Raw genomic sequence first — 23,772 nt, forward strand, 5'->3', positions numbered from 1 at the left:
TTAGTAGAGACAGGGTTTCATCGTGTTAGCCAGGATGGTCTCGATCTTCTGACCTCGTGATCCGCCCGCCTCGGCCTCCCAAAGTGCTGGGATTACAGGCGTGAGCCACCATGCCCGGCCACATTCTGTTTATCTCAGACTCTGAACTGGCTCCTTGAGGGACAGGGATTACCCTTGCATCAATGCACCCCCGAGACCACTTACTCTGCCAGGAGCAAGACAAACATTAAATAAATGTTTGATGAATGAAAAATCTACCTTGCCTACAGTATTCTCATAAAGCAAACCTGAACACTTAAGTCTCCAAATATTCCTCAATGTCTCATAATGACCATAATACTATGTAATTCTAATGATGGCTATGACCTCATCCATTCTCACTCTTTTTACTGACTAGTTAATTTAGCCTCAGAAAGGTAAGATGATGCAGTCAAAGTCTTCTAAGTCAAAGACACTTAGAAAGCAAGTGACATGGTAAGTAACAGAACCCTGGTCTCTGAGTTGAGTACTCTTCTAGAACCAAGCTGGAAAAAGCTGAAGCTATTATTTTCTTATGCAACATGTTGGGAAATTTAGAGACTCTAATATTCTACTAACATATACAGTATTTGACAAGCAAATAAAATGTGTGGAAATATTTCTTTTAATACATGTGGTTCTTCTGAAATAGTATAAACTCCAAAAGTAAGATAATCTGGATTCAAAGCTGGCCCTACCGTATAGCAGGGTGTGATCTTAGGCAAGTTGTTTAATCTCTATCAGACCCAGTATCTCAACATAGAAATAATAATCCACACATCATATTTCTGTGTATATTAGATGCTGTGTAGATTAGATGCATGCTGCCTGGCTCATAGCAAGCATTTGGTCAACAGTAAACACTATTATTATCTTCATCTGTTAATCTTGAGGACAGAGTTCTCATTTCCCCTCCTTCCCTTAGTGCCTATACTCTACACATAATAGCCATTCAAAATTTTCTGAATCTATGATTAATAAAAATATCAAACAAGTAGTCAATGGCTTTTCTTAATCAAGAAAAGATAATTACTATATAGTTTAAGATGTCAAGTATGAGTACTGTATGGTTTTTACATTTTTTTTCAGCACTCACAGATTCTGACAGATGTCTGGTTTTTAATAATGACATTTCATTGTTTTAAAAAGCAGAATCAACTTTATCTAAAAACAGCCCATCAGTTTTTCTCTAAACAGAACTGGGTGAGTTTCTTATAACTTCCCACATGAACATCTTCTGTTTCATTATTATTGTGACAATTAAAGGAGCAATACATTCATGTTAGGGAGAAAAAAAAGTTACTGGAATAAAAATTGCTAAATATGCAGGTGCAGCAGCTCACACCTGTAATCCCAGGACTTTGGGAGGCCACGGCAGGAGGTTCACTTGAGGCCAGGAGTTCAAGACCAGCCTAGGGAAATAGTGAGGCTCTTGTCTCTATAAAAATAGGCCAGGCGTGGTGGCTCATACCTGTAATCCCAGCACTTTGGGAGACCGAGGCAGGCAGCTCACTTGAGGTCAGGAGATCAAGACCAGCCTCACCAACATGGTGAAACCCCATCTCTACTAAAAATACAAAAATTAGCCAGGCATGGTGGCGCATGCCTGTAATCCAAGCTACTCGGGAGGCTGAGAGAAGATAATTACTTGAACCTGGGTGGCAGAGGTTGCAGTGAGCCAAGATCATGCCACTGCACTCCAACATGGGCAACAGAGCTAGACTCTGTCTCAAATTAATTAGTTAATTTAAAAAATTAGGCCGGTGTGGTGGCATGCACCTATGGTCCAAGCTACTTGGGAGGCTGAGGTGAGAGAATCACTTGAGCCCAGGAAGTCAAGGCTGTAGTAAGCCAAGATCACATCCCTGCACTCCAGCCTGGGCAACAGAGTAAGACTGTCTCAAGAAAAAAAAAAGGAAAGAAGGAAGAAAAAGAAAAAAAAAATTAAATTGCTAACTAAAGTCAGAAGTAATCTCTTTACATTTTGTGTACATCCTTTCATACTTTTTTCTATGTGAATATAATTATTTTCAGACAGGAATAATATAGGGTGGACACAGGAGAATAAAAATTCCAGGCAGCAGTTTCACATGACTAAAGGCTATGGGCTGGTAAGATCCTGAAAAACAGAGTATGGACAAAGCTGACTAAGACCAACTAGACCCAATATGGAGCTGGATTTGACCTAGGTTTCAACTAGGACCACATTATATGCTCATTAACATACTAAATCACACACCCACCAGCACCAGGCAGTTCTGAGAACACCCATATTTGGTGTAAAAATAGGTGGTAACACAGTTCTGAGAAATCTTCACCTTTTGTCAGGAATAATCTACCCCTCAGTTAAAGAAACCCATAAAGGTAGCAACCCCAAATCCCCTTGCACATGCAGGAGTATGCCTACGCTGCATTTTCTTTAATGTGTGCTTTTCCCTTTGCAATAAATCTCCACATTTTCACTATTTTCTGATTCATCCTTGAATTCATTCTCACGATGGTATCAAGAGCCTGGACACAGGTTGGGGTGGAGGTCCCACCAGCATTTGGGGACCTCCTCCAGCCTACTGGTATCAATTTTAACAAAAATATAATATATATGCCTTTTTTTTTTCTTGTGATGGAGTCTCGATCTGTCACCCAGGCTGGAGTGCAGCAGTGCAATCTCAGCTCACTGCAACCTCCTCCTCCCAGGTTCAAGCGATTCTCCTGCCTCAGCCTCCCGAGTAGCTAGGATTACAGGCACCTGCCACCACGTCTGGCTAATTTTTGTATTTTTAGTAGAGACGGGGTTTCACCAAGTTGCCCAGGCTGGTCTTGAACTCCTGACCTCAGGTGATCTGCCAGCCTTGGCCTCCCAAAGTGCTGGGATTACTGACATGAGCCACCACGCCCAGCGTTTTTTTTTTGGGGGGAGGGAGTCTCACTCTGTCACCCAGGCTGGAGTGCAATGGTGCATTCTTGGCTTACTGCAAACTCTGCCTCCTGGGTTCAAGCAATTCTCTTGCCTCAGCCTCCCGAGTAACTGAGACTACAGGCACCCACCACCACATCCAGCTGATTTTTGTATTTTTGGTAGAGATGGGGTTTCACCATGTTGGCCAGGCTGGTCTCAAACTCCTGACCTCAGGTGATCCGCCTGCCTCAGCCTCCTAAAATGCTGGGATGACAGGTGTGAGCCACTGCGCCTGGCCTATACATGCTATTTTTTAATCTTTTTATTCACCATATTATACAAATCCTTCTATATCAAGAAGTGACATAGATGTCATTGTTTCAATCATTATGTAATATTCATTAGGTGGATACTATGCCATAATTTATTTAACTAATCCTCTATTATTGGGCATTGAGGTTGCTTCCAGTGTTTCAGTAATACACAATGAAAATACATTTGTATATACGTTTCTGATTAATTCCTAAGAATACATTTTTAGATGTGTTTTTTCCAAGTCTAAGGACATATATATAATTAGGCTTTTGATATATATCACCAAATTACCCTCCAGAAAACTTCGCCAATTTTTGGTCTTGCCAACATGGGAAATGCTTCCAGTTTAATCTCTCTCCAATGTGAAAGGCAAACAATTCTATACTATTGTTGTTTCATTTTTGCTTCATCTTAAAATTTCTGGGAAAATATAAGCAGAAATAAGCATGTTTTTGCAAGACAATCAACTGGATAGGTAGCCAGGAAATATCAAGTCTTAAATTTAAGAACAAGCCTTAACTCAATTAGAGCTCCAATTAAAAAGTGGAATATTCAGGAAGCATTCAGCCTTCCCCAAAAGAGGTTAAGAGGGGAATGGAGAGATCAGAAAGCAATGGATCTCCACTGGGATGTCCTTAGAAGGATAGGTTTCAGGAGAAAAATAGACATTTTACTAATCACCTCATAACCTCCTAAGGCAGGTGTCTAATGTATGAACTACCAGGATGGTCCAAGACAACCTACGTTAGCCCATTTAAGTTATTTTCATTAAAGATGGGGTGCATAATAAGGGTTCAAAATTACAAACTGTAGGCAACTCATCTATCGTAGTAGTAAGAGTCCTTGAAAAAAAAACATGAAACAGAAAATTTCACATTAGCACAATTTTAACCCAAAATGGCAAAATTAATTTTTGCAACACAATTGTCCCTTTGCAATCACTGCTAATGTTAAGAGACCAGATAAAGAATTATTAGCACCATTAATGTAATATCGAAGTCACACCTATACATCCTTTTCCATAGAAAATGGTTCTTAATTTTCAAGTTGTTCTGCTTTATTAAAGCTCATTACCATTTCTCTTTTAATAAGTGCTCTTTAAAGTCATTACCTGCAGTGAAGTTAAAGGCAGAGCTATTAAAAGGTTACTTTAATGTGAATAATAGCCTCCCAATATACTCAAGTTAATTACTATTGGAAACTGGTTCTATTTTAATTTAATGCTGAACGCTTAATGAAGGATCTGCCGGGGTAGCAAAACTGACAAAAATTATTCATGGTCAACAGACCTATTCTTGCTGTCTCATTTAAAGAGATAATATCCATTTCTAGTTCTACATAACTGCATTTAAAGATCAAAATTACATATTAACATTTTTCTCTGTATATCTAATTGAATATGAAAAATGTGTTTTTTTAATATATTCAAGAGCATGTTAGACATAGCGCAATCATCAGTCATAATGTGGCAGCCCCTCAAACATGTAGGAGGTGGAAAGGAATCTCAAAACCACTACAAGGAGAGTTTTGAAGACAAACAAATTCATTCTGGGTCCTTTGTGTCTGCGCATAAAAAGTAACCGTCACCAAAAGAAAAAGGGGAGGGGAAAGGCTGAAAGGAGATGAGCTGAAAGGGACACTAGAGCCAAGGGGGACCTGAAGAGCAGGCCTCTGCCCAGGCAGAGAGAAATACAAGCCCCCTAGCTTTGCAGAAGAGCTACAGAGGCAAACCCCAACCCCAGCCTCCTCACAAAAGGATGTGACTGGAGTCCTTCCACTGTGGCCAGCCTCAAGTAAAACACATGCACACTTTCCCCCAACACCTGAGAAACGAAGCTCAGTGAGAACGCAGATGACAATGGAGTTTTAAAGACAACTCAGGTTCAATGACAAACATAGATTTTTCTTTCTCAAGCTAATTTTACTTAAAAAGATACCAAATTGGCCAGGTACGGTGGCTCACGCCTATGATCCCAGCACTTTGGGAGGCCAAGGCGGGCAGATCACCTGAGCTCAGGAGTTCAAGACCAGCCTGGCCAACATGGTGAAACCCCGTCTCTACTAAAAATGCAAAAATTAGCCAGGCGTGGTGGCAGGTGCCTGTAGTCCCAGCTACTTGGGAGGCTGAGGCAGAAGAATCACTTGAAACTGGGAGGTGGAGGTTGCAGTGAGCCAAGATCGCACCACTGCACTCCGGCCTGCGTGATGGAGCAAGACTCTGTCTCAAAAAAAAAAAAAAAAAAAAAAGTACCAAGTTTCCTTGACATCCATATAGAATAAATGCATTATAATCAACTCATGTGAGACAATGTCAACTACCCTCTGCCTACTTGGCCACTTGTTTATCCCTGTCAGTGTGCTGACTCTGGAATGCAAACACCTGGAAGGCAGAGTTCCGATCATGTAAAATTATTCCCCATAGGTGCCACTAAATAAAATTTTTAAAAATTTTTTGAGATAATTGTGATAAAACAAAGCTGCCCTTAACATTAATTCAGTAATGATATCTTGAGAAGTATTAAAATGCTAACCAAAAATGGGCTCCTCAAATATTACATCAACTGTACACAAAGGTATTCCCCATATTTTAAATTACATACTTCATGAATATTAAAGAAATGCTTTTCCTGTGTCAATCTGAGAACCACCTCAAAGCCTTTGGGTGGTGAAAAGACTAGAGATCTTAGTATTATAAATGCCTGGGATAGAATAAATTTAAAACTAATACAGAGGTAGAGGTAGGAGGATCACTTGAGCCCAGGAGACCAGCCTGGACAACAGAGCAACACCCTGTCTCTTCAAAACAAAACAAAACAAAACAAAACAAAAAACTAATACAATGCCATCAGGAGGCCATGAGTCTCACAAATTTAGCTTCAAAGCCTAGCCATCATTTATCCCTTCCGTGAAGTTTCAGTTTCCTTCTCTGTACAACAGTAAGGAATGTTATGAGGACTGAACAAATTGCTACATATCAAGTCCATTAGAGGACTTGGTACAAAATAAGACTCAATAAAATGGAGCTATGGTAATAATGATAAAACCTTCCTTAAAAGGGGGCTTAAATCTCATAGGCTAGATTTTATGAATTTTGTTTCTAAACTAAAACAATAACATCATTTAAAAAGACTTGTTTTAAAGCTAGAAACCTAATAAAATAGAAAGAGGAAAAAAAGGTCATCATGGTTGAAAAAAGAACCCAGCAAGTTATTGTTTTGATACCATAATTAGGAAGAGAAAATGAAAGTCAGCAAAACCACAGTTTTAGAAAAGTGGTTATTAGATTTTCTTCTTTCCACAGTGGAAAAAGTCCTTCCTGTTGAAGAAGGCAGTGAAATTTTATCACAGCTATTGCTATTCATAAATCTTATATCTATTTTAATTCAATCTGGCCCTAGCCTCAGAGTCGCTGCACCACAATTTGATTACTATAACCATACTTTTTAACTGCTGTCAGGAAAGACAGCGCCTTATACAAACATCTGCCGGAACACATGCCTGCGTTCTCCAGCACCAGCCTTAAATCACGCTCTGGTGATGAATCTTTATCTGACACTAATACTTTTTAACTTCATACGGACAATTAAAATGAATTGTAGCTAAATGCACATATAACAAATCAATTTAATCTTTGGTTGCATAGCAGCATATTTTGCAAATTTCCTAAACTTACATGTATTTTGTAAAATTTCTTACATGTATCTTTGTCTAGGTGTTAAACTTCAGTTTAACAGAAAGTAAAGTGGAAATACTAATAAAACACAGCTCTTATGATACTGCCATGTAGTTGCAAGCCTCAAAGAATAATGACATTTGAAATTTATCACTGCCATTTTTAAAAACTTCCACATTTCTATGTGGAGAGTACCATTCTGGGCTTCATTATAAGAGTGACCAAAGCTGAATTCCCTGGCCTGTAGGAATACAACTGAAATTCGGACAACCACACCAAGGATAAGAAACTGGCTCAGATCCGAGCCGTAGACAGTATTCATCTACTATTCATCTATAGTGCCCATCACATTTGCTCTCTGGTTTGTTGTTCGTGGTTCTGTTCCTCTGCTCGGTCAGGTGCACCTAATGTCATGGACCACTGTCACAGTCCTCAGCACTGGGCACGATCATTCATGTAAAGTATAGTTTCTCCACTTGATGGCCATATGGCCGCTCTTGTCTTTTAAGTTCCCCAAGGGCAGTCAGCCCCATTTTATTTATCAGTGCACGGTGCAGAGCTGGTATGCAATAAATGTTTGAAATGAGCCAGTACAGTGTGGGTGCCTAGTAAATGATGTATTCGATGGATAGAGATGTGTGAACGAATCCACTCTGCACACCAGAAAAATCAATGGAAATAAACAAACATTTGTGAGGCACACACCAGTTACTACGTGTGAAAGCATTCCCCTTCCCCAGTCCCAATATCTTTTTTTTTTTTTTTTTTACATGTAAGGAAGTTAAGGCTAACAAGATGCAGTAACTTGCCCAATCCATATAACTGATAAAAAGATCTGAAGCAGTCCGTCAGGTTTCAAGTCCACTGCTAAAGGAAAAACTTTTGTTTTTAAATTTTAAAAAATTTCAAATGTTAACTGTTTTTGTTTTCGCCATAACAACGACTGCAAGAGTCTAGGAAAAAGAGCTGTGGTACTGGAATAGGAGAAAAAGGAGCTGAATACCAGCTCTGCCACACACTAGTGGGGAATCCTTGAGCACCTCACTTTCTCTCTCTCAGCCTGTTCCCTCACCTGGAGCTAATACTCCCTAGATCACTGTTCTGTTAGGATAATTAAGAGGAAAGTTCCAATGTATACACAAAAGATTAACTCTTCAAAAGTTGTAGTTTTCCCATCTGTACCCCCCTACATCTCACTGATGTCAATCACCTCCCTAATCACAAAACTCTGGAATCTTAAAGCCAAAAAGAATCCAAGAGGTCATCTAAGCCACATTCCTGATTCTAAACACGCAGAAATCAAGGCTCATAGATGAGAGATTACTTGTCCTACATCAGAGAGAAGGAACTGCATGGCCAGGACTAACACTCAAGTCTTCTGATTCCCTGTCAGTGTTCCTTCTAACACATGGCCTAGTAGTCCTGGAAATCAAGTTTCCATTTTGTATGAACCCCATTAATGAAAATAAAAATCTCAGCTGGGCACAGTGGTTCATACCTGTAATCCCAGCACTTTGGGAGGCCGAGGCAGGCGGATTACCTGGTCAGGAGTTGGAGACCAGCCTGACCAACATGGTGAAACCCCGCCTCTAGAAAGAATACAAAAATTAGCTGGGCGTGGTGGCACGCACCTGTAATCCCAGCTACTTGGGAGGCTGAGGTAGGAGAATCGCTTAAACCCGGGAGGCGGAGGTTGCAGTGAGCCAAGATCACACCACTGCACTCCAGCCTAGGCGACAGAGACTCTGACTCAAAAAAAAAAAGAAAAGAAAATAAGAAAATAAGAATCTCTGAGAATTAGAACACTTGGATTCTATGCCCAGCTAGGTGGAGCCTAGGCTGTCATTTGATTTCTCTGGATAGAGGTCTTCAAGATAGTAAAATCATGGCCTCATTCTTCGAGGGAGAAGACAATCTCTCTACTGCAAACCATGCAGAGCAAAGTACCCCAGGATGAGAAGGCTGAATGTAAAATGACACCATCCCTAGTCCCCTCCATACCTACAAGGATTGTCTCCTGGGCTAGACCTCAGTGCTCGATATTCATTCCAACCAGATTCCCTCTTCTAACCTGGTAATTAGTCAGGTAGTGAGAAGGTAGTACAACAACAGTAATCTCATTGTAACAAAAATACGTCCATGTTGTTTACCTCTTAGTCCCCTAACCTCCAACAATTACAATCAACACGTCTTAAATGACACCTGGCATCTGCCTCATTTAAAATTACTCTCTCGAAAATAAAAGAATAAAATTACCCTATCGTTTTCTCCTCTGAATGGCCTGGTGAGTCAGGCTGGGCATCTGAGTGCACATCCCTGTCATCTGAGAGGAAGTGACTGATGGGAGAGGAAGTGTCTGGAAGGTGACTAACGTCTGAAGGCAATTCCTTGGCCAGTTTCAAGGCTGGCTGACAAGCGAGAACAAAAAAGAGGCTTTTTGCTCCACTCTCACCTCAAAAAGCACTGCCTCAGATTCCCCAAACACAAACCAGACAATAGGATATACCCCACCTCCCAAAAAGATGTACAGTGTCTTCAAGGACATGGTAACAGTCTATGATCTGTAGTCAGCAGGTCCAAAACAGCTGCCAATGGGTGACAGAAACTCCGTCTCAAAAAAAAAAAAAAAAAAAGAAAAGAAGAAAATAAGAATCTTTGAGAATTAGAACACCTGGATTCTATGCCCAGCTAGGTGACCCTGGGCTGTCATTTGATTTCTCTGGAGAGATATCTTCAAGATAGTAAAATTATGGCCTCGTTCTTTGAGGGAGAAGCCCTCTTTCAGTGCTTCCTAACTCAGGGATGGTTTCATTATCCATCCAGCTCCACAAGCCGGACACGGACCAGGAAATCATCCTTCAAACCCCCTTCTAACCCTGTTCTCTGCATACATCATCAAATCCTACCACTTTTGCCTACTACTAAATATCTCTCGAATTCATTCACTCCATCTTCATTCTAACAAGCAAGCCCAAGTTACCACTCTCTCACCCAGAGCACTGCAAAAAATGTCTTGATTAGTTTCTCTATCCTCACAAACCCTTCTCAGGGATATACTCGGCAGCACAGCCCCAGGGGTCTTTTCAAAACAAATTTGATTACCTCACCTCCCCATTTAAATCCTTGTTCAAGGCTTCCCCGTGCCATGAGGTTAAAGAGAACACCTCTACCAATCATACCCGGTCTTCCCCCAGAGCTTCACTTTTCACCACGATCTACTTCACCCTAGGGCTCCAGTCACACAACTTTCTTTTGGTTCCTCAAAATTGCCAAATTCCCCTTGCCTCAGACCTTCTGTTCCTTTCTCCTCCCCCTTTTCTTAGCTAGTTCTTACTCACCCTTTAGCTCTCAGATCAAAAGATTTTAACCCAAGCCTGACAAACATGTTCTTTCCATGGCAAGAGTCTGCCTTCCTTTGAAAAGCCTTAAGCCAATGGTGAATTCTACCTCATGGAATTTTTAGAAGATGGCTCCACAACAAAGGAAGCCACCACAGACTGGCAAGGTTCACAGCTAACTGCAGAAATGAGGCCTAGACAGAGAGCTCAGGGTGGAAGAAGTTAGTTTTAAGAACTCAGCATAGAGGATTTAACTTCTATGAGAAGTAGAATGCCGAAAACATTTTGTTGTGATTCCTATTTAACTCATTACGAACTGACCATCAAGACAAAAATCCCAATGTCCTCCCTTGGGATTTTCAGTATAACATGAAGCAACAGCAACAGGAGAGAATTAATATAATGGTAAGGGGGAAATAATCTCACAAAGAGATGTCTTTAATGAATTTGATCCTTCTTTTTCAGACACCATCTTGCTCTGTCACCTAGGCTGGAGTGCAGTGGTGCAATCACAGCTCACTGCAGCCTCAACCTCCTGGGCTCAAGTGATCCTTCCGCCTCAGCCTCCCAACATGCTGGGGTTACAGGCATGAGCCACTGTGCCCGGCGATCCTTCTATACTATATACCAGAATATGTAAATGGTAGTGAATATCTAAACTCCATCTTCTTTTAGAAATAGAATAGACTAACAAAAACTGATCTATGAAAGGAAGACTAGCAAAATACAGTCACAGAGATAAGTAGCCAGGAGAATAACTGCTAAAATCATGTTGAGACTTTTCTTTTAAAAAGTATGTAGGTTGGACGCAGTGGCTCACACCTGTAATCCCAGCACTTTGGGAGGCCGAGGCGGGCAGATCACCTGAGGTCAGGAGTTTGAGACGAGCCTGGCCAACATGGTGAAACCCCATCTCTATTAAAAATTCAAAAATTAGCCAGGTGTGTTGGCAGGCGCCTGTAATCCCAGCTACTCGGGAGGCTGAGGCGGGAGAAATCACTTGAACCTGGGAAGCAGGGGCTGCAGTGAGCTGAGATGGTGCGACTGCACTCCAGCCTGGGCAAAAGAGAGAGACTCTGTCTCAAAAAAACAAAACAAAACAAAAGTATGTAAATGAAGCCACTGAACAACTGAGACGAACAGCTCCTAATTCAAAATATAGTCACTCTAGATTTATCTCATACTGGGCACTAAGCAAGCAAAGCCCTGGAGAACTCTTACTGAAAGGAGCAGTGGTGGACTTTCCGTATTATGCAGCCAACTTCTTTCTTCATTCATGGTTACCCCCGCACCCCCACCAGTTGAGTAGGGGTTGGGGGTAAAGGAGAAGGAAGTAAGGCCAGAAGACCCTTAGGCTGAAGGCCACTGCCTCAGCTCAGGCAGCATTAAGTAAAAGCTGCTTTCTAGAAACACAGCCAACACTAAAAAGCCCAGGCTACATTTTTTTTTCTTTGGGAAAGAGATCCAGAAGCAAACGTAGTTTAACATATTAGAAGGGACCATTCCCACAAGAATAGCATATTTTCCAAGTTCAGATGAGGTGCCTTTTCCACTAAGGGCAATTTTTCTTTTTACGTGATTTCAATTCGCTGACCTTTTCTGAGTTTGCAACATTTCTCGGTGGCTTCATGCTTTTCTGCAAAGTTTTAAGTGACTTTCTTTGAAGAGAGCTATTTAATGCCAATGATTGTAGAAAACATTTGTTCATAATTATCCGACATAGACTGGAACAATGCTGAAACAAGAGCAGCATGCAAAAATGTATTTAAGGACTATCATCCCAAAATGCTGCTAAAAGCTATTAACCAGTATGTGTTAATTGCCACAGCATTCATATTAATTTTCACTTCAGGCTCGACATTGTGGAATATTTCCCCTGATACATTTTAAACAAAGTTTAATTTAAGGAACTGCTTCTATCAACACTTATGAAAATTAACAGCCAAGCAATTAGCACTCATGAATTATCCCTTCCCCCATGCTCTCTGCAGCTTCCCTATTAAAACAGTTTCTAATAGAGAAATGGTTACTTTCTAACAAGTTAACACCATCAAAGTCACAGTTGTCTATATGAACCAGAACTGGTTTGCTCTTTCAAGCACTTGTCAAGTCAAACATTCCCCTTATATTTAGAAAATAGTATTTAGCTAAGCCCAAAAAGTAGGATATTTAACATTTTAGAAACTGCCAAGCGATCACCAATATTGAACCATTTTCTCACCAAAAGTTTAAAAAAAATAGCCAATCCCCCACCCACCCAAAGGAAGTAATTACTTGTCTCAATCTTCCTAGTGAAGGACCAAAACCCCACTGGACTCCCTGAACTTCAACATGCAGACCGTTTTCACCCTCTCTGCTGTACTTCTTCTTTACGACACTATTCTAAAATCCTGGCTTTTAAAAACACATTCCCTCTCACTCAATCCTGTCAACCACATAATGAAGTACGTGGGAAAGACATCGTCACTGCCCCATCGTCAGTGCCCTGTGTCATCCCTTTACAAAGAGAAAGCAGCAGAAGTGGGATATTTGTTGAGTGTTTCCTATGTGCTACACGTCCTGCTAAACACATCCTGCTCATTTCATCCTCCTGAGGAAGATACACTGTCATCATTTCTTTCACAGATCAGGACTGGAACTTGTAGAGAAGAAACATTTTTTCCTTCTACCCTTATAAATGCTTGGCTGAGGCCCCTGTAACAAGAAACAGAGTAACAAAAGACAAGCACACAAATTTATTTAACCGAAATTTTACATGACATAGAGCCTTCATAAGAAAACGAAGACCCAAGAAACTGTCGGTTAAATCTGAGGGTTTTTATATTAAGTTTGACGAAAAGTGGAAAGTCATGTGGAAAATATGATAGGAAAAAGGTAGGAAGTCAGTGTGGTAAACTGTGGGGAAATTTTGCAAACCCTGTTCTTTAAGATTCATCTTAGGAGATGAGGATGCTCCTTTCCTCCAGGCAGAGGGAGAACATGTCTCACATGAGGGCCTTGTGACCTGCTTAGGGGAGAAGGGCAGGGGAAGATCAGAGTTCTTCCTGCCATTTCTCAAGTTCCTTCAGCTTATGATATTCAATATTCCAAGGTGCCACATTTTGGGGTAGTGTGTCCTGAACCCCAAGCTTCATGAGGTTAAGTAGCTAGACTGAAGTCACACCGTAAGTGGAGCCATGGGGATTCGAATGGAGGCTTTACTACAGAATAGGTTGCTTTATTAAACGACACTGCCTCTCACTGTGCTAGATGCTTCATCCTAGCATTATCCTATTTGATGGTCTCATGAGGCTTGTGAGGAACTCACACCCATCTCCTTTCAGAGGTGAAAAAACTGACTGAGATGACACAACTTGCTAATCAGTCCCTTTTTTTTTATTACTAACTGTATTGACAGGAAATGGGTACTTGAACTTCTGATGGTCTATTAAGGATAATATCTGCAAATGCAATTTGACCAGAATAGTGATAATGTACTAGCAAAAGAGTCTCAAGAAAGTGATATGGCATAAAATGGATAGGGTTAGATTTCCTTCTTAAAACATAACCTAATCTGAAACGGGTGGAGAAACAGGGCAGAAAATCCACATATTTTGAGGCACGTAAATTAGTGCTGAATGTCTACTTGCCTCTCAGCAAAGCCCACTCCCCGATCACCTCAAAGCAACCTCTTGTCACAACCAACAGTTCCCACATCCAGTGAAATCAGAAGGACTGGCACAAGAAGTTTTCCAATTGTCTCAACCTCTAGAATAGAGGTTTTGTGTTGTTAACGAGGCTATTCAGAGGTTCCGTTCTCAACAATGCTTAAGAATTCAGGCAGATGGCTGAGGCTGGTTTTGCGGATCTGACCAAAGCATGCCCTAAAACTGCTTGGCCATCAACCTTGAACTTTTTTCAAATGATCAGTAAACAGTTATTGATAATCCAGACCCAGACTCTAAAACAGATCACAGAGAGCATCACCAATTTGCTAAAGAAATAATATCAAAATGATAAACCTGACCCCAAAAATTGTCAAAATTACACCAAGGCACATGCCTAAGTACAGCCTTTCCCTCTCAATTTCATGCCTTAAAAAATTATTAGCCAACCACTGTTTTAAAAAGCTTTTTATAAAATTATTAACCAGCTACAGGAACCAAAAATTACTTGGAAATATTCACTTTAATTTAGCACAACAGCTAAGAGATGCTCACCCTCAGAATCATAAAAACCAACAATCCAGTTGGCATGAACTGTTAAGAACACTATATGTGCCTGCTTGACTAAAATGTAACAGTAAAGCCATAGCAAAAGCAAAATCCTTTCTTCAGATCTAACACTAGTTTAATCTTAAGGAGGATTTCACAGCAGTTAGTCTCTTGAGGCAATACATAATTAAGTAGTTTTTTAGCATATTTAATTAGACCCCAAACTCTTCCCCATCCCCTTCTCTCCCCAATTATGTACTATTTGCCCAAGAGACCTAAGCAACTCAGTTAATTATGTAAATAAGGCAAGAGTTATTCCCAAGAAAAGCATTGTGAATATTTGGAGGGGGAAAAAAACTGTACATATTTTAGAGGCTTTAACAAATCTTTGTAAAAAAAAGAAAAAACTGGAGTATCAAAATACATAGAAAACCCTTACATTTGAGGCTAAAAGCATGGTGTTCCAATGACAAGACAGTGAATCATTAAAACAAGACACTCATTTCATTTCTTAAATATGAGCCGAAAAAAAATAAAATAATTTTAAGTTACAACAGTAACAAAAATTTAGTGCTGAACGTCAGATGATTTATGGGAGGAATCAATCTGGAAATTATTAAGAGTCAACTCTCACGGAAAAGGCTTTATTATCAAGGGGTTGACATGATCTTAACTCTAGAGGCAGCCATGGTGCTGTTATAACTACTACAATCCCATTATTATGCAATCACAAAATGCTAATTTGATCATTTTGAGGTGTTATTTGAATAGTCATTTTAATTTCTAGGTTACAAAAAGGCTTGACTCAAGTATAATTCTCTATTAATCATTGAGATGTCATTGTATATCATATTGACGCATTTCACAAAGATAAAGAAAGACTAATTTAATATGTACAGTACAATATCCTTCAAATATTAGCCATTTTCATTACATATCTGCCAAATGCATCAATATTAAATAACAGATGAGAACAAGGGTTTAATTGTATTTTAGCAATTGTAATATGTAAGATAATAATACAATAGCATCACATAAGATAGACTTATCAATATCTAAATCTTTCTTAATCAATGCATAATGGTGACTGCTCTGCACTCACATCCTTCGTGGATTACAAATAGACTTGCTATGACAAAAGCATTGAGAGCCTTCAGTGTAAACACACATCTAGCGAGAATAATTCCTTTGTGACTAAGGAGATGGTTTACTTTTTATTTTCCCGCTGGTACTTCAGAAGTTAGATATATACACACCAAGCAGAGTTCACAACCTTGTGACAAATCTGAACCTAAGTAATTAACAATAAAGTCTATGGTATAAAGAGAATTATAGAGTATTTTAAAAGATCTGTGCTATTTTTTGATATAAACACATTATCACACATCAACTATTCCAGAAATTACATCCTCAAACAATGAGATGGTATCAGGCAATGGAAGCAAATAAATTCCAACTGCTTACCCTAATCCCAAGAATAACTTCTCACATGTCTAAATGAATCATTGTAGTATTTTTTTTTAAATCCTATGTAGTCCAACTCGCCATTTTCCAGAGGCTGACATTCCTGTCCCCTGGGGGAACTTCCTTCTCCATGCTACATTCCACAAAACAGGAGAAAGCAGCAAGGGCAGACGAAAGAGAAGCTTTACATCAATACAGTCTATAACTTACTAAAAGTGCTGTCAGAAGTTCTTTGGAGGAAACTTCCAGAGCATATTAGGACCTTTATATTACTTATGCATTTTGTTTCTAGTTTTTGCTCTTATCCCTCAGAAACATCAATAACCTCATGTGCCAGTGGCCATACATGCTTACTGAAACCTACGGAAACCTGCTGAATTGTAGGAAGTAAAAGTCTTTCGAAGAGAAAACACCTCTGCTCAAAGAGGACAAGTGACAGAACCAGCTCATGAAAAAAAAAAATCAAGCATAAGCAAAAAGCTGTATGTTTATTAACTGCAATGGCGCTGAAGTAAGACAAATTATACACAATACCTCCAGGCAAAGAGCTATCACTCAGCACCCCACACCACTGCCAGACAGCAAACATCATGGCAATAAATACAAAAATCAACCGCTACTGTCTTCTGAACAAGGCCCTGCTCAGGTCAGCACAGAGACACAAGAAGGCAGGGGGTTGGGGAAGGGGTGCTGCATATGAAACTAGGATCCACCTGAAATAGTGGCCATGTTTCTAAAAGGAAAACAAACACACTTTAATTTCATAACAGCAAACTTAGCACAAACAGGCAAAAAACAAAGTTAGCCTCCATAGCAAGTGTCAAGATCCCCCTACAGTGAAATACTGAAATGCAAGCAATAGCCTAGAATTCTGAAATAAAGCTCAGATCTCAACAATTTCTACAGTTATAATAATCAAACAATTTCTACAGTTATAATAATCAGCCAAGACAATGCAAATTGCCTCCCAGAACCACTTTCAAGGCTTTCCCAATACAATTAGACCTTGATTAATCACAATCTAACTAATCCAACTTCTCAAGTATACTTAGGAGATAAAACGGATTAAAAATATACACATATATATTTCTCTCTCCCTTCCTCCCCCTCCCCTTTCTCTCATATATATATAAACATATGTATATACATATATATACACACACATATATATATGTGTGTTGGGGAGGATTAAAACACAACAGTCCTGAGATATCTATACACAGAGAAAGAGAGAATGAAAGAGCACAGGACTGTTTTTGTTTTAATCCTCCCAAATATATTACTGTGGAAACAATACTGAACCCAAATTCATACCTTTACATCAAGTCTTAGAAAATGTAAGTGACATTCTATAACTGTCAACTGATATTCTACAAAGCATTTCTGAAACCCTAAATCTAATAATAATACCAACAACAACTCCACTCAATTACAGTTTTACTTAAAGGGACAAAGTCTCATTTTTACTTACCTTGCCATCAAATTTGGAATACTCGTTAAAAGGGTTATTCAGCTGCAGAGGGCACTGTTCTAGGCGTACAGATAATATCGACTGCTTCCCAGAAATTGGAGGCTTCTCTTTGAGAGATTTTTTTTCAAACAGTGACTTTAACTCCTGGGCTGTGATACAAGAGGAAGAAAAACATCTTTGTGATTACACAGAGACAACTTGTCCACCTTCCCTAAAAAGTCTTCCTTAGAACCTTAAGGAAGGAGCATCCAGAGACATGTTCAGGTCGGATACATGCAGAAAGCCCCACAATATACCGTGCACTGAAAAGGCAGAGCACGGAAGAACGTGCAGGCCAGGATAGTCAATTTGGAAAGAGAAGGGGTTAAGGGAGGGGGAAGAATCAGACAAAGTAACAAAGGAGCCATTTTATAGGAAGAGCACTCACAGCCAGGAGACCCGAGCTTTGGCCCGGCTTTGCTACTAACGGCAAGCTATGTGACAGTAGACACTTCTCTAAACCTTTCTGGGCTTGTCAAACTAGAAAATCTCAAAGATCCCTCCTGCCTGTAATATTATGTGATTTTGGAATTCTAGTTCTTCAAGGTCAAGATCTGCATATTAATTCTCTAACACTCTCCAGTTGCACCTTGTACAAACTCTTGATGCCAAAGATGAAGAGGAGAAAAAGAGAAAGGATATTTATAATAACAGTAGCTAACATTTATTGCTGCTCGGCCTTTTGGCTAAGATCAAGTGTAGTAACAGTAGCTAACATTTATTTAGCAAGTCAATATATCTCATTTAATCCTCATAACAAGCCTATGAGGTAGATACTAGCGTTATCTCAGATTTGTCAATGTGGAAACAAGCTTAGAATATTTTGATTAGCCCTGGACCACACAGCTAATAAGTAACAGAACTAGAATTTGCACCTGACCAAGGCTCTTATACATTAGGGCACTAATGAACAAGGTAGACACTGAATAAATTTTGTTGCATGAATGAATGAATGATTGAAATAATTCAGATTAAAATTATTAAATCTGAATCTTCAGTTCTTATTCATTAGTGAACCAAGACAAGTTCCGTAACTTTTCAAAGATCATTTAATTCTCTAAATCAATTGGAATATCAATCAAGGTGGCGGTAGCTAGATGATAAGCGGCTATGAAGAAATGTCCACACTTAAAGTTTTTAAATAAATCAATCTGAGACTTTAAAATCCGCAATAGACGTGTTCAACCCCATTCCACTTTAGCATAGTCAAATTAAACCAAGAGAGAGAACAGAGCTCCGAAAGAGTCACTTAGAACTTTCAAAAAAAAATGTAACTGCAGCTGGGCACCGTGGCTCAAACCTGTAATCCTAGCACTTTGGAAAGGCAAGGTGGGAGGATCACTGGAGCACAGGAGTTCGACATAATCAACATATTAAACACAGATTTGAAGAGGAATTAGACTATAATTCAATTAAAGTAATATTTTAAATATGGGAAGTACTTTTCTACCTGTAATCTATTACCACTTTCATGCTTACAATTGGGAAAGAAATGATCCTTTATTAAGCATCTATTATGAGCCAGGATCAATACTAGGTATTTTCCTCACCTGGCACAGTCACAGTCTTCACAGATCCTAAGAGAGATGTTACTACTAGCTCCATGAAGAAACTGAGGAATCCCAAACATAAGTAATGTATAGACTTCACACAGCTGTTACCAATAGGGTTAGGTGCAATGTGATGCTATGATTAACCCTTTCATTCTCAGACATTCACACTCAGACCTCTCTCCTCAACCTAACACCTCCTCCCCTCTTCCTCCTTTGTCGAGGCTTGGAGAATAGAAACAACCAAAGAGAACTTTTGCATGCTCTCATCTGCTCTTCTATCTGCCTGTCCTCCTACTAGCGAGGATGAACTCCCTCTGCCCTTACCTTAGGCCAGCCCTTCCCTTGTGCACTAGATCCCATCCCTCTTGCCAACTCATGAACAGCTCTCCAGCAATTCTCTTCTCTCTCTTCCATTGTCAATTTTTCTCTTACTGAATTAGTCACATCAGCACACAGTACTGAAACACTGCTCATTAAAAAAAAAAAAAATCCTCTCTCTATCCCATACTCCCTCCCTTCTGGTTACTACCATATTTTTCTGCTTCTTAAAATGTCTGTCTATATTCTTCCTGTCCAGTCCCTCTACTTCCATTCAATCAAATCCACTCCAAGTAGGCATATTCAGGCCACACTACTCCACCAAAGCAGCTTTTATCGAGGTCACCAATGATCCCTTTGTTGCTAAATCTGTTGGTGAATTTTTAATCCTCATCTTACAAGATGTCTTGGCAGCATTTGACACGGTTCCTCACTCCCTCCTGTTTTAACATTTTTTTCACTTGGTCCCCAGGACTCCACTCTATCTGGCTTTTATACTGTCTCTCAGGCTACTTCTTTCAGTCCCTCTGCTGATTCATCTCATTTCTCCCTTGAATCACTGGCATTTCCCAAGGCACAGCACTTGGACCTCTTCTCAATCTACATTCACGCCACTGGTGATCTCATCCAGTCGTATGCTTTTAAATACCATCTATAAGGGGCAAAACTAAATTGTGGTGACATAAATCAGAACAATGCTTGCCTCTGGGGAGTGAAATGACTAAAAAGGGGCACGAGGGAACTTTTTTGGGGTGACAGAATTGCTCTATACTTGTCTGGGATGCTAGTTATATAAATGTATATGTCTGTCAAAAGTCACTGAGCTGTACATTTAATATCTGTACATTTCACCGAATGTAAAGCATACCTCAAAAAAAGTAAATAAATAAAAAGGGAAACCCCAAGTAAATATCTTCTACATGCTAGTACCTCTCAATGGTTATTTCTAACCCTAAACACTCCCTGAAATTATAGACATCCAACTTTCTACTGGACACTTTCACTTGGATGTCCACCAGGCACCTCAAGTGTTACCTATCCATAACCAAACTCTTGATCTTTCCCCAAAGCTCCCACTCCCACAGTCTCCTCAGTTAATGGCAATTCAGTTCTATTAGGCCAAAAACCTGGGAGTCATCCTGACTTCTCACATCCTACCCATCAACCGACACTTCAAAAGCTATTCAGAACCGTGGCAACCGCTAGCAACGCTGTGTTATCATCACCTTAAAACCCGCTTTACTGTTTCTGCCCTTGCCTCCTCACCCCAACCCTTGTTTCTTCCTGACACAGCCGCCAATATGAGTCTTTTGAAATACAAGTTACAAACTTCAGAATGAGGAGAAAAATTGATAAACCTGACCACATGAAAAGAAAACACTTCTGTATGGGAAAAAAGTAAAAAGACAAATGATAAATTAGGAAAGAATAAAGGTCAATATTCCTAATATGTAAATATTCTAAAAGTAAAGAAGACACTGAACAACACACATAGAAAAATAAGACAAAAATATGAAATGTTCACAGAAAAAGAAATGTAAACAGCTCTTAAATGGAAAGATTCTCAACCACATTCATAAGAGATATGCAAATTAAAACTACATTTCATCAGATTGGCAAAAATCTAAAGATTTGAGGCTCTGAGGACATAGACACTCTGTATGTTACCAGTGGGAGCATGAAACAGCGAAAGTCCTATGAAACGGAATTCGGAAGATCAAGGAAAATCACATCTTCATTTACCCTCTGACCCAACAATACCACTTAGATACACTGGTAAAACAAAACTTAAAAAAAAATGCATACAACTATTCTCTGCGGTGCCATTTGCAAAAGCAAAGCCTGAAAACAAACAAACATCCCTCACCGGGGCATGGGTTGGCACTGGTACATGCGTATCACAGAGTATTATGCAGCTGTAAAATGGAATGAAGCTTATCTCTATATATTGCTCCAGAAAAATCCTCGGAATATATTACTAAATAAAAAAAGTATTGTACAAAACAGTATGTATAGTATGCTATCTTTAATCTAAAAAGGGGATATAAATATAAATATGCTTATATATAGTTTTAAATGGACAAAAAACCTTTTTAAAAATGACTATAAAAGAGTGAAGGGAACAGAAAGTGAAGCTAGATTTCTCTGACTTTATCTTGCTTTATGTTTCTGACTTTGAAGCCATGTCAATGTTTTAAATAATTATAAAAGAAAATTAAAAGCATAACCTCTAAAAACAAAGGCAAAATGAAATACATGAACCTAAGTATAATAATGACTTGGCAGATTAACTACAAAGAGGGGAATTATTTTAAATAACTTTGTTACCCAGCAAATGACCCAATTTCTTCAACAAATAAATTATAAGAAAAAAGTGAAAGAGAAGCTATAGATTAAAAAATGAGACATTAACCAAAGTAGTAGATGGATCTTAGATCCAAACATGAACAAAACAATAGAGAAAAAAGAAAAATTTGAGATGATTAGGGAAATATGAACGATAATCGGATATTTAATAATATTAAATAATTATTTCTTGGCCAGGCACTGTGGCTCACCGACTGTAATTCTAGCACTTCGGGAGGCCAAGATGGGCAGATCACTTGAGCCCAGGAGTTCAAGACCAGCCTGGCCAACATGGCAAAATCCCATCTCTACAAAAAATGCAAAAATTAGCCAGGAATGGTGACATGTGCCTGTAGTCCCAGCTGCTTGGGAGGCTGAGGAGGAAGAATCACTTGAGCCCAGGAAGTTGAGGTTGTAGTGAGCCATGTTCATGCCACTGCATTCTAGCCCCGGTGAGAGTGCAAGACCCTGTTTCAAAACAAAAATTTTTTTCCTGACTGGGCACGGTGGCTCACGCCTGTAATCCCAGCACTTTGGGAGGCCGAGGTGGGTGGATCACGAGGTCAGAAAATCGAGACCATCCTGGCTAAGAGGGTGAAACCCTGTCTCTACTTAAAATACACAAAATTAGCTGGGTGTGGTGGCGGGCACCCGTAGTCCCAGCTACTCGGGAGGCTGAGGCAGGTGAATGGCGTGAACCCAGGAGGCGGAGCTTGCAGTGAGCCAAGATCGTGCCACTGCACTCCAGCCTGGGCGACAGAGCAAGACTCCGTCTTAAAAAAAATAAAAATAAAAATAAAATTTTTCTTTATAAAGAAATTATTTTAAATGTTTTTCAATGTAATTATTAAACATTTCTTTATAATAATTAACATAAATAATTTTAAATGATATAGAGAATATTAAAATAATATTAATTTTTTGAAGAGTAGTAGTGCCACAGTTTCCTTATATGTTAAAAATACAAAGTATTTAGGTATGAAATCATATAGTAGCTGGGATTTGCTTAAAAATAATCTGGGAGGGCTGGTAGTAAAATGTATAAATCAAACAGGACCAGCCATGTACTGTTCATTGTTGAAGCTGGCAGATGAGTGAAGGGAGTTCATTAAACCATTCTCTCTACTTCTGTGTATGTCTGAAATTTTCTACAATAAAAAGTTTTTTTTTAAGGAAATTTAAACTGGGGGAAAAGAAGTCACATATCACATCACTACTCTGATCAAATCACCTCAGAGAAAAAATACAATTCCTTACCAGACCCTCCATAACTAGGAACCCCACTACTGACTTCTCTGATCCCACTCTTCCCGTGCTTACTGTGCTCTAACCAACAGGCATCCTGCCTTGTTATTCTATTTTTTGAATACACCAGGCACGTTTCTGCCTCAGAATCTTTGCACTTGCTATTTCCTCCTCTTAGAACACTCATCTCCCGATATATGCATGACTCACTCCTCCACTTCCTTTAGATCTCTACTCAAACAGTACCTTCCTAATGAGCCCTTCCTTGGCCACCCTACACAAAATAGCAAAATTCTCTGCCTAGCATTCCTTATCCCCCTTACCTGGCTATATTCTTCTCCATGCCATTTACCCATTCTGGCACATTATGTTTACTGTTTATCTACCCCCAATCGAATATAAGCCCCATGAAGACAAGGACTTTGTCTTGTTCACTATTTGTTGAAGGAATAATTTATTATTTTTTAATAATAAATATTTGTTGAATGAATAAGTCTGGACCAGAGAAGTAGAAAAAGTTGCTGGGGTAGGGTATAGGAAGGGAGGACAGAGAGAGCAGATGCGCAGAAAGAAGCCAAGACAAGATGGGGGAAGTCATGAGAGCCCTTCCTTCTGGTTTCAAGCCATTCATCAGGCAGACTATACTTCTTGAGAGCCCTCCTTCAAGCTGCTTTTTGTTATTTGCAACTAAAAAGTCCTGACGAATATAAACAGTTGGACTTCACCAACAAACACAAAACTAAAAAAATAAATAGCCTGGAAATTTAATTATCATCAGCTTTATGAAAAAGCACACACTATAGCATTCAGAAGATGAGAATGTGTATCAGAACTTATGCATGGAACATACTAGAACTATAAGAATTTAGGGAGCAGCGGGATACAAAACAAATATATTAAAAT

At 39.4% G+C, this 23,772-nt stretch overlaps 1 protein-coding gene across 6 annotated transcripts in view, besides 7 other annotated features; it reads right to left on the reverse strand.

Annotated features, from left to right (window-relative positions):
• MAPKAP1 (MAPK associated protein 1) overlaps positions 1-23,772 on the reverse strand; it is a 269,815-nt gene that overhangs the window by 202,889 nt on the left and 43,154 nt on the right. For all 6 annotated transcript variants that reach the window (NM_001006621.2, NM_001006620.2, NM_024117.4 and 3 more), the window contains one exon: positions 17,369-17,517. Coding sequence is in view for 4 of the 6 variants with exons in the window: in NM_024117.4 (NP_077022.1) it covers positions 17,369-17,517 (149 nt within the window). In the remaining 2 variants the exon portion in view is untranslated. The remainder of the gene's footprint in view (positions 1-17,368; positions 17,518-23,772) is intronic.
• Positions 5,207-5,800: an enhancer, noted in NCBI's record as "H3K27ac-H3K4me1 hESC enhancer chr9:128407768-128408361 (GRCh37/hg19 assembly coordinates)". NCBI's record gives its function as "activates a minimal SCP1, AML or CMV promoter by ChIP-STARR-seq in primed H9 embryonic stem cells {active_cell/tissue: H9 hESC(primed)}" and the evidence as "EXISTENCE:reporter gene assay evidence [ECO:0000049][PMID:30033119]".
• Positions 8,983-10,182: an enhancer, noted in NCBI's record as "P300/CBP strongly-dependent group 1 enhancer chr9:128411544-128412743 (GRCh37/hg19 assembly coordinates)". NCBI's record gives its function as "activates an origin of replication core promoter dependent on BRD2, BRD4, P300/CBP, MED14 and CDK7 cofactors, with strong dependence on P300/CBP, by STARR-seq in HCT116 cells {active_cell/tissue: HCT116}" and the evidence as "EXISTENCE:reporter gene assay evidence [ECO:0000049][PMID:35650434]".
• Positions 9,818-9,867: an enhancer, noted in NCBI's record as "active region_29010". NCBI's record gives its function as "activates an Ori minimal core promoter by ATAC-STARR-seq in GM12878 lymphoblastoid cells {active_cell/tissue: GM12878}" and the evidence as "EXISTENCE:reporter gene assay evidence [ECO:0000049][PMID:35858748]".
• Positions 9,878-10,147: an enhancer, noted in NCBI's record as "active region_29011". NCBI's record gives its function as "activates an Ori minimal core promoter by ATAC-STARR-seq in GM12878 lymphoblastoid cells {active_cell/tissue: GM12878}" and the evidence as "EXISTENCE:reporter gene assay evidence [ECO:0000049][PMID:35858748]".
• Positions 10,208-10,257: an enhancer, noted in NCBI's record as "active region_29012". NCBI's record gives its function as "activates an Ori minimal core promoter by ATAC-STARR-seq in GM12878 lymphoblastoid cells {active_cell/tissue: GM12878}" and the evidence as "EXISTENCE:reporter gene assay evidence [ECO:0000049][PMID:35858748]".
• Positions 10,298-10,507: an enhancer, noted in NCBI's record as "active region_29013". NCBI's record gives its function as "activates an Ori minimal core promoter by ATAC-STARR-seq in GM12878 lymphoblastoid cells {active_cell/tissue: GM12878}" and the evidence as "EXISTENCE:reporter gene assay evidence [ECO:0000049][PMID:35858748]".
• Positions 13,640-14,538: an enhancer, noted in NCBI's record as "OCT4-NANOG-H3K27ac hESC enhancer chr9:128416201-128417099 (GRCh37/hg19 assembly coordinates)". NCBI's record gives its function as "activates a minimal SCP1, AML or CMV promoter by ChIP-STARR-seq in naive and primed H9 embryonic stem cells {active_cell/tissue: H9 hESC(naive and primed)}" and the evidence as "EXISTENCE:reporter gene assay evidence [ECO:0000049][PMID:30033119]".

The sequence above is a fragment of the Homo sapiens genome, chromosome 9, assembly GCF_000001405.40.
Source record: "Homo sapiens chromosome 9, GRCh38.p14 Primary Assembly".
NCBI lineage: Eukaryota > Metazoa > Chordata > Mammalia > Primates > Hominidae > Homo > Homo sapiens.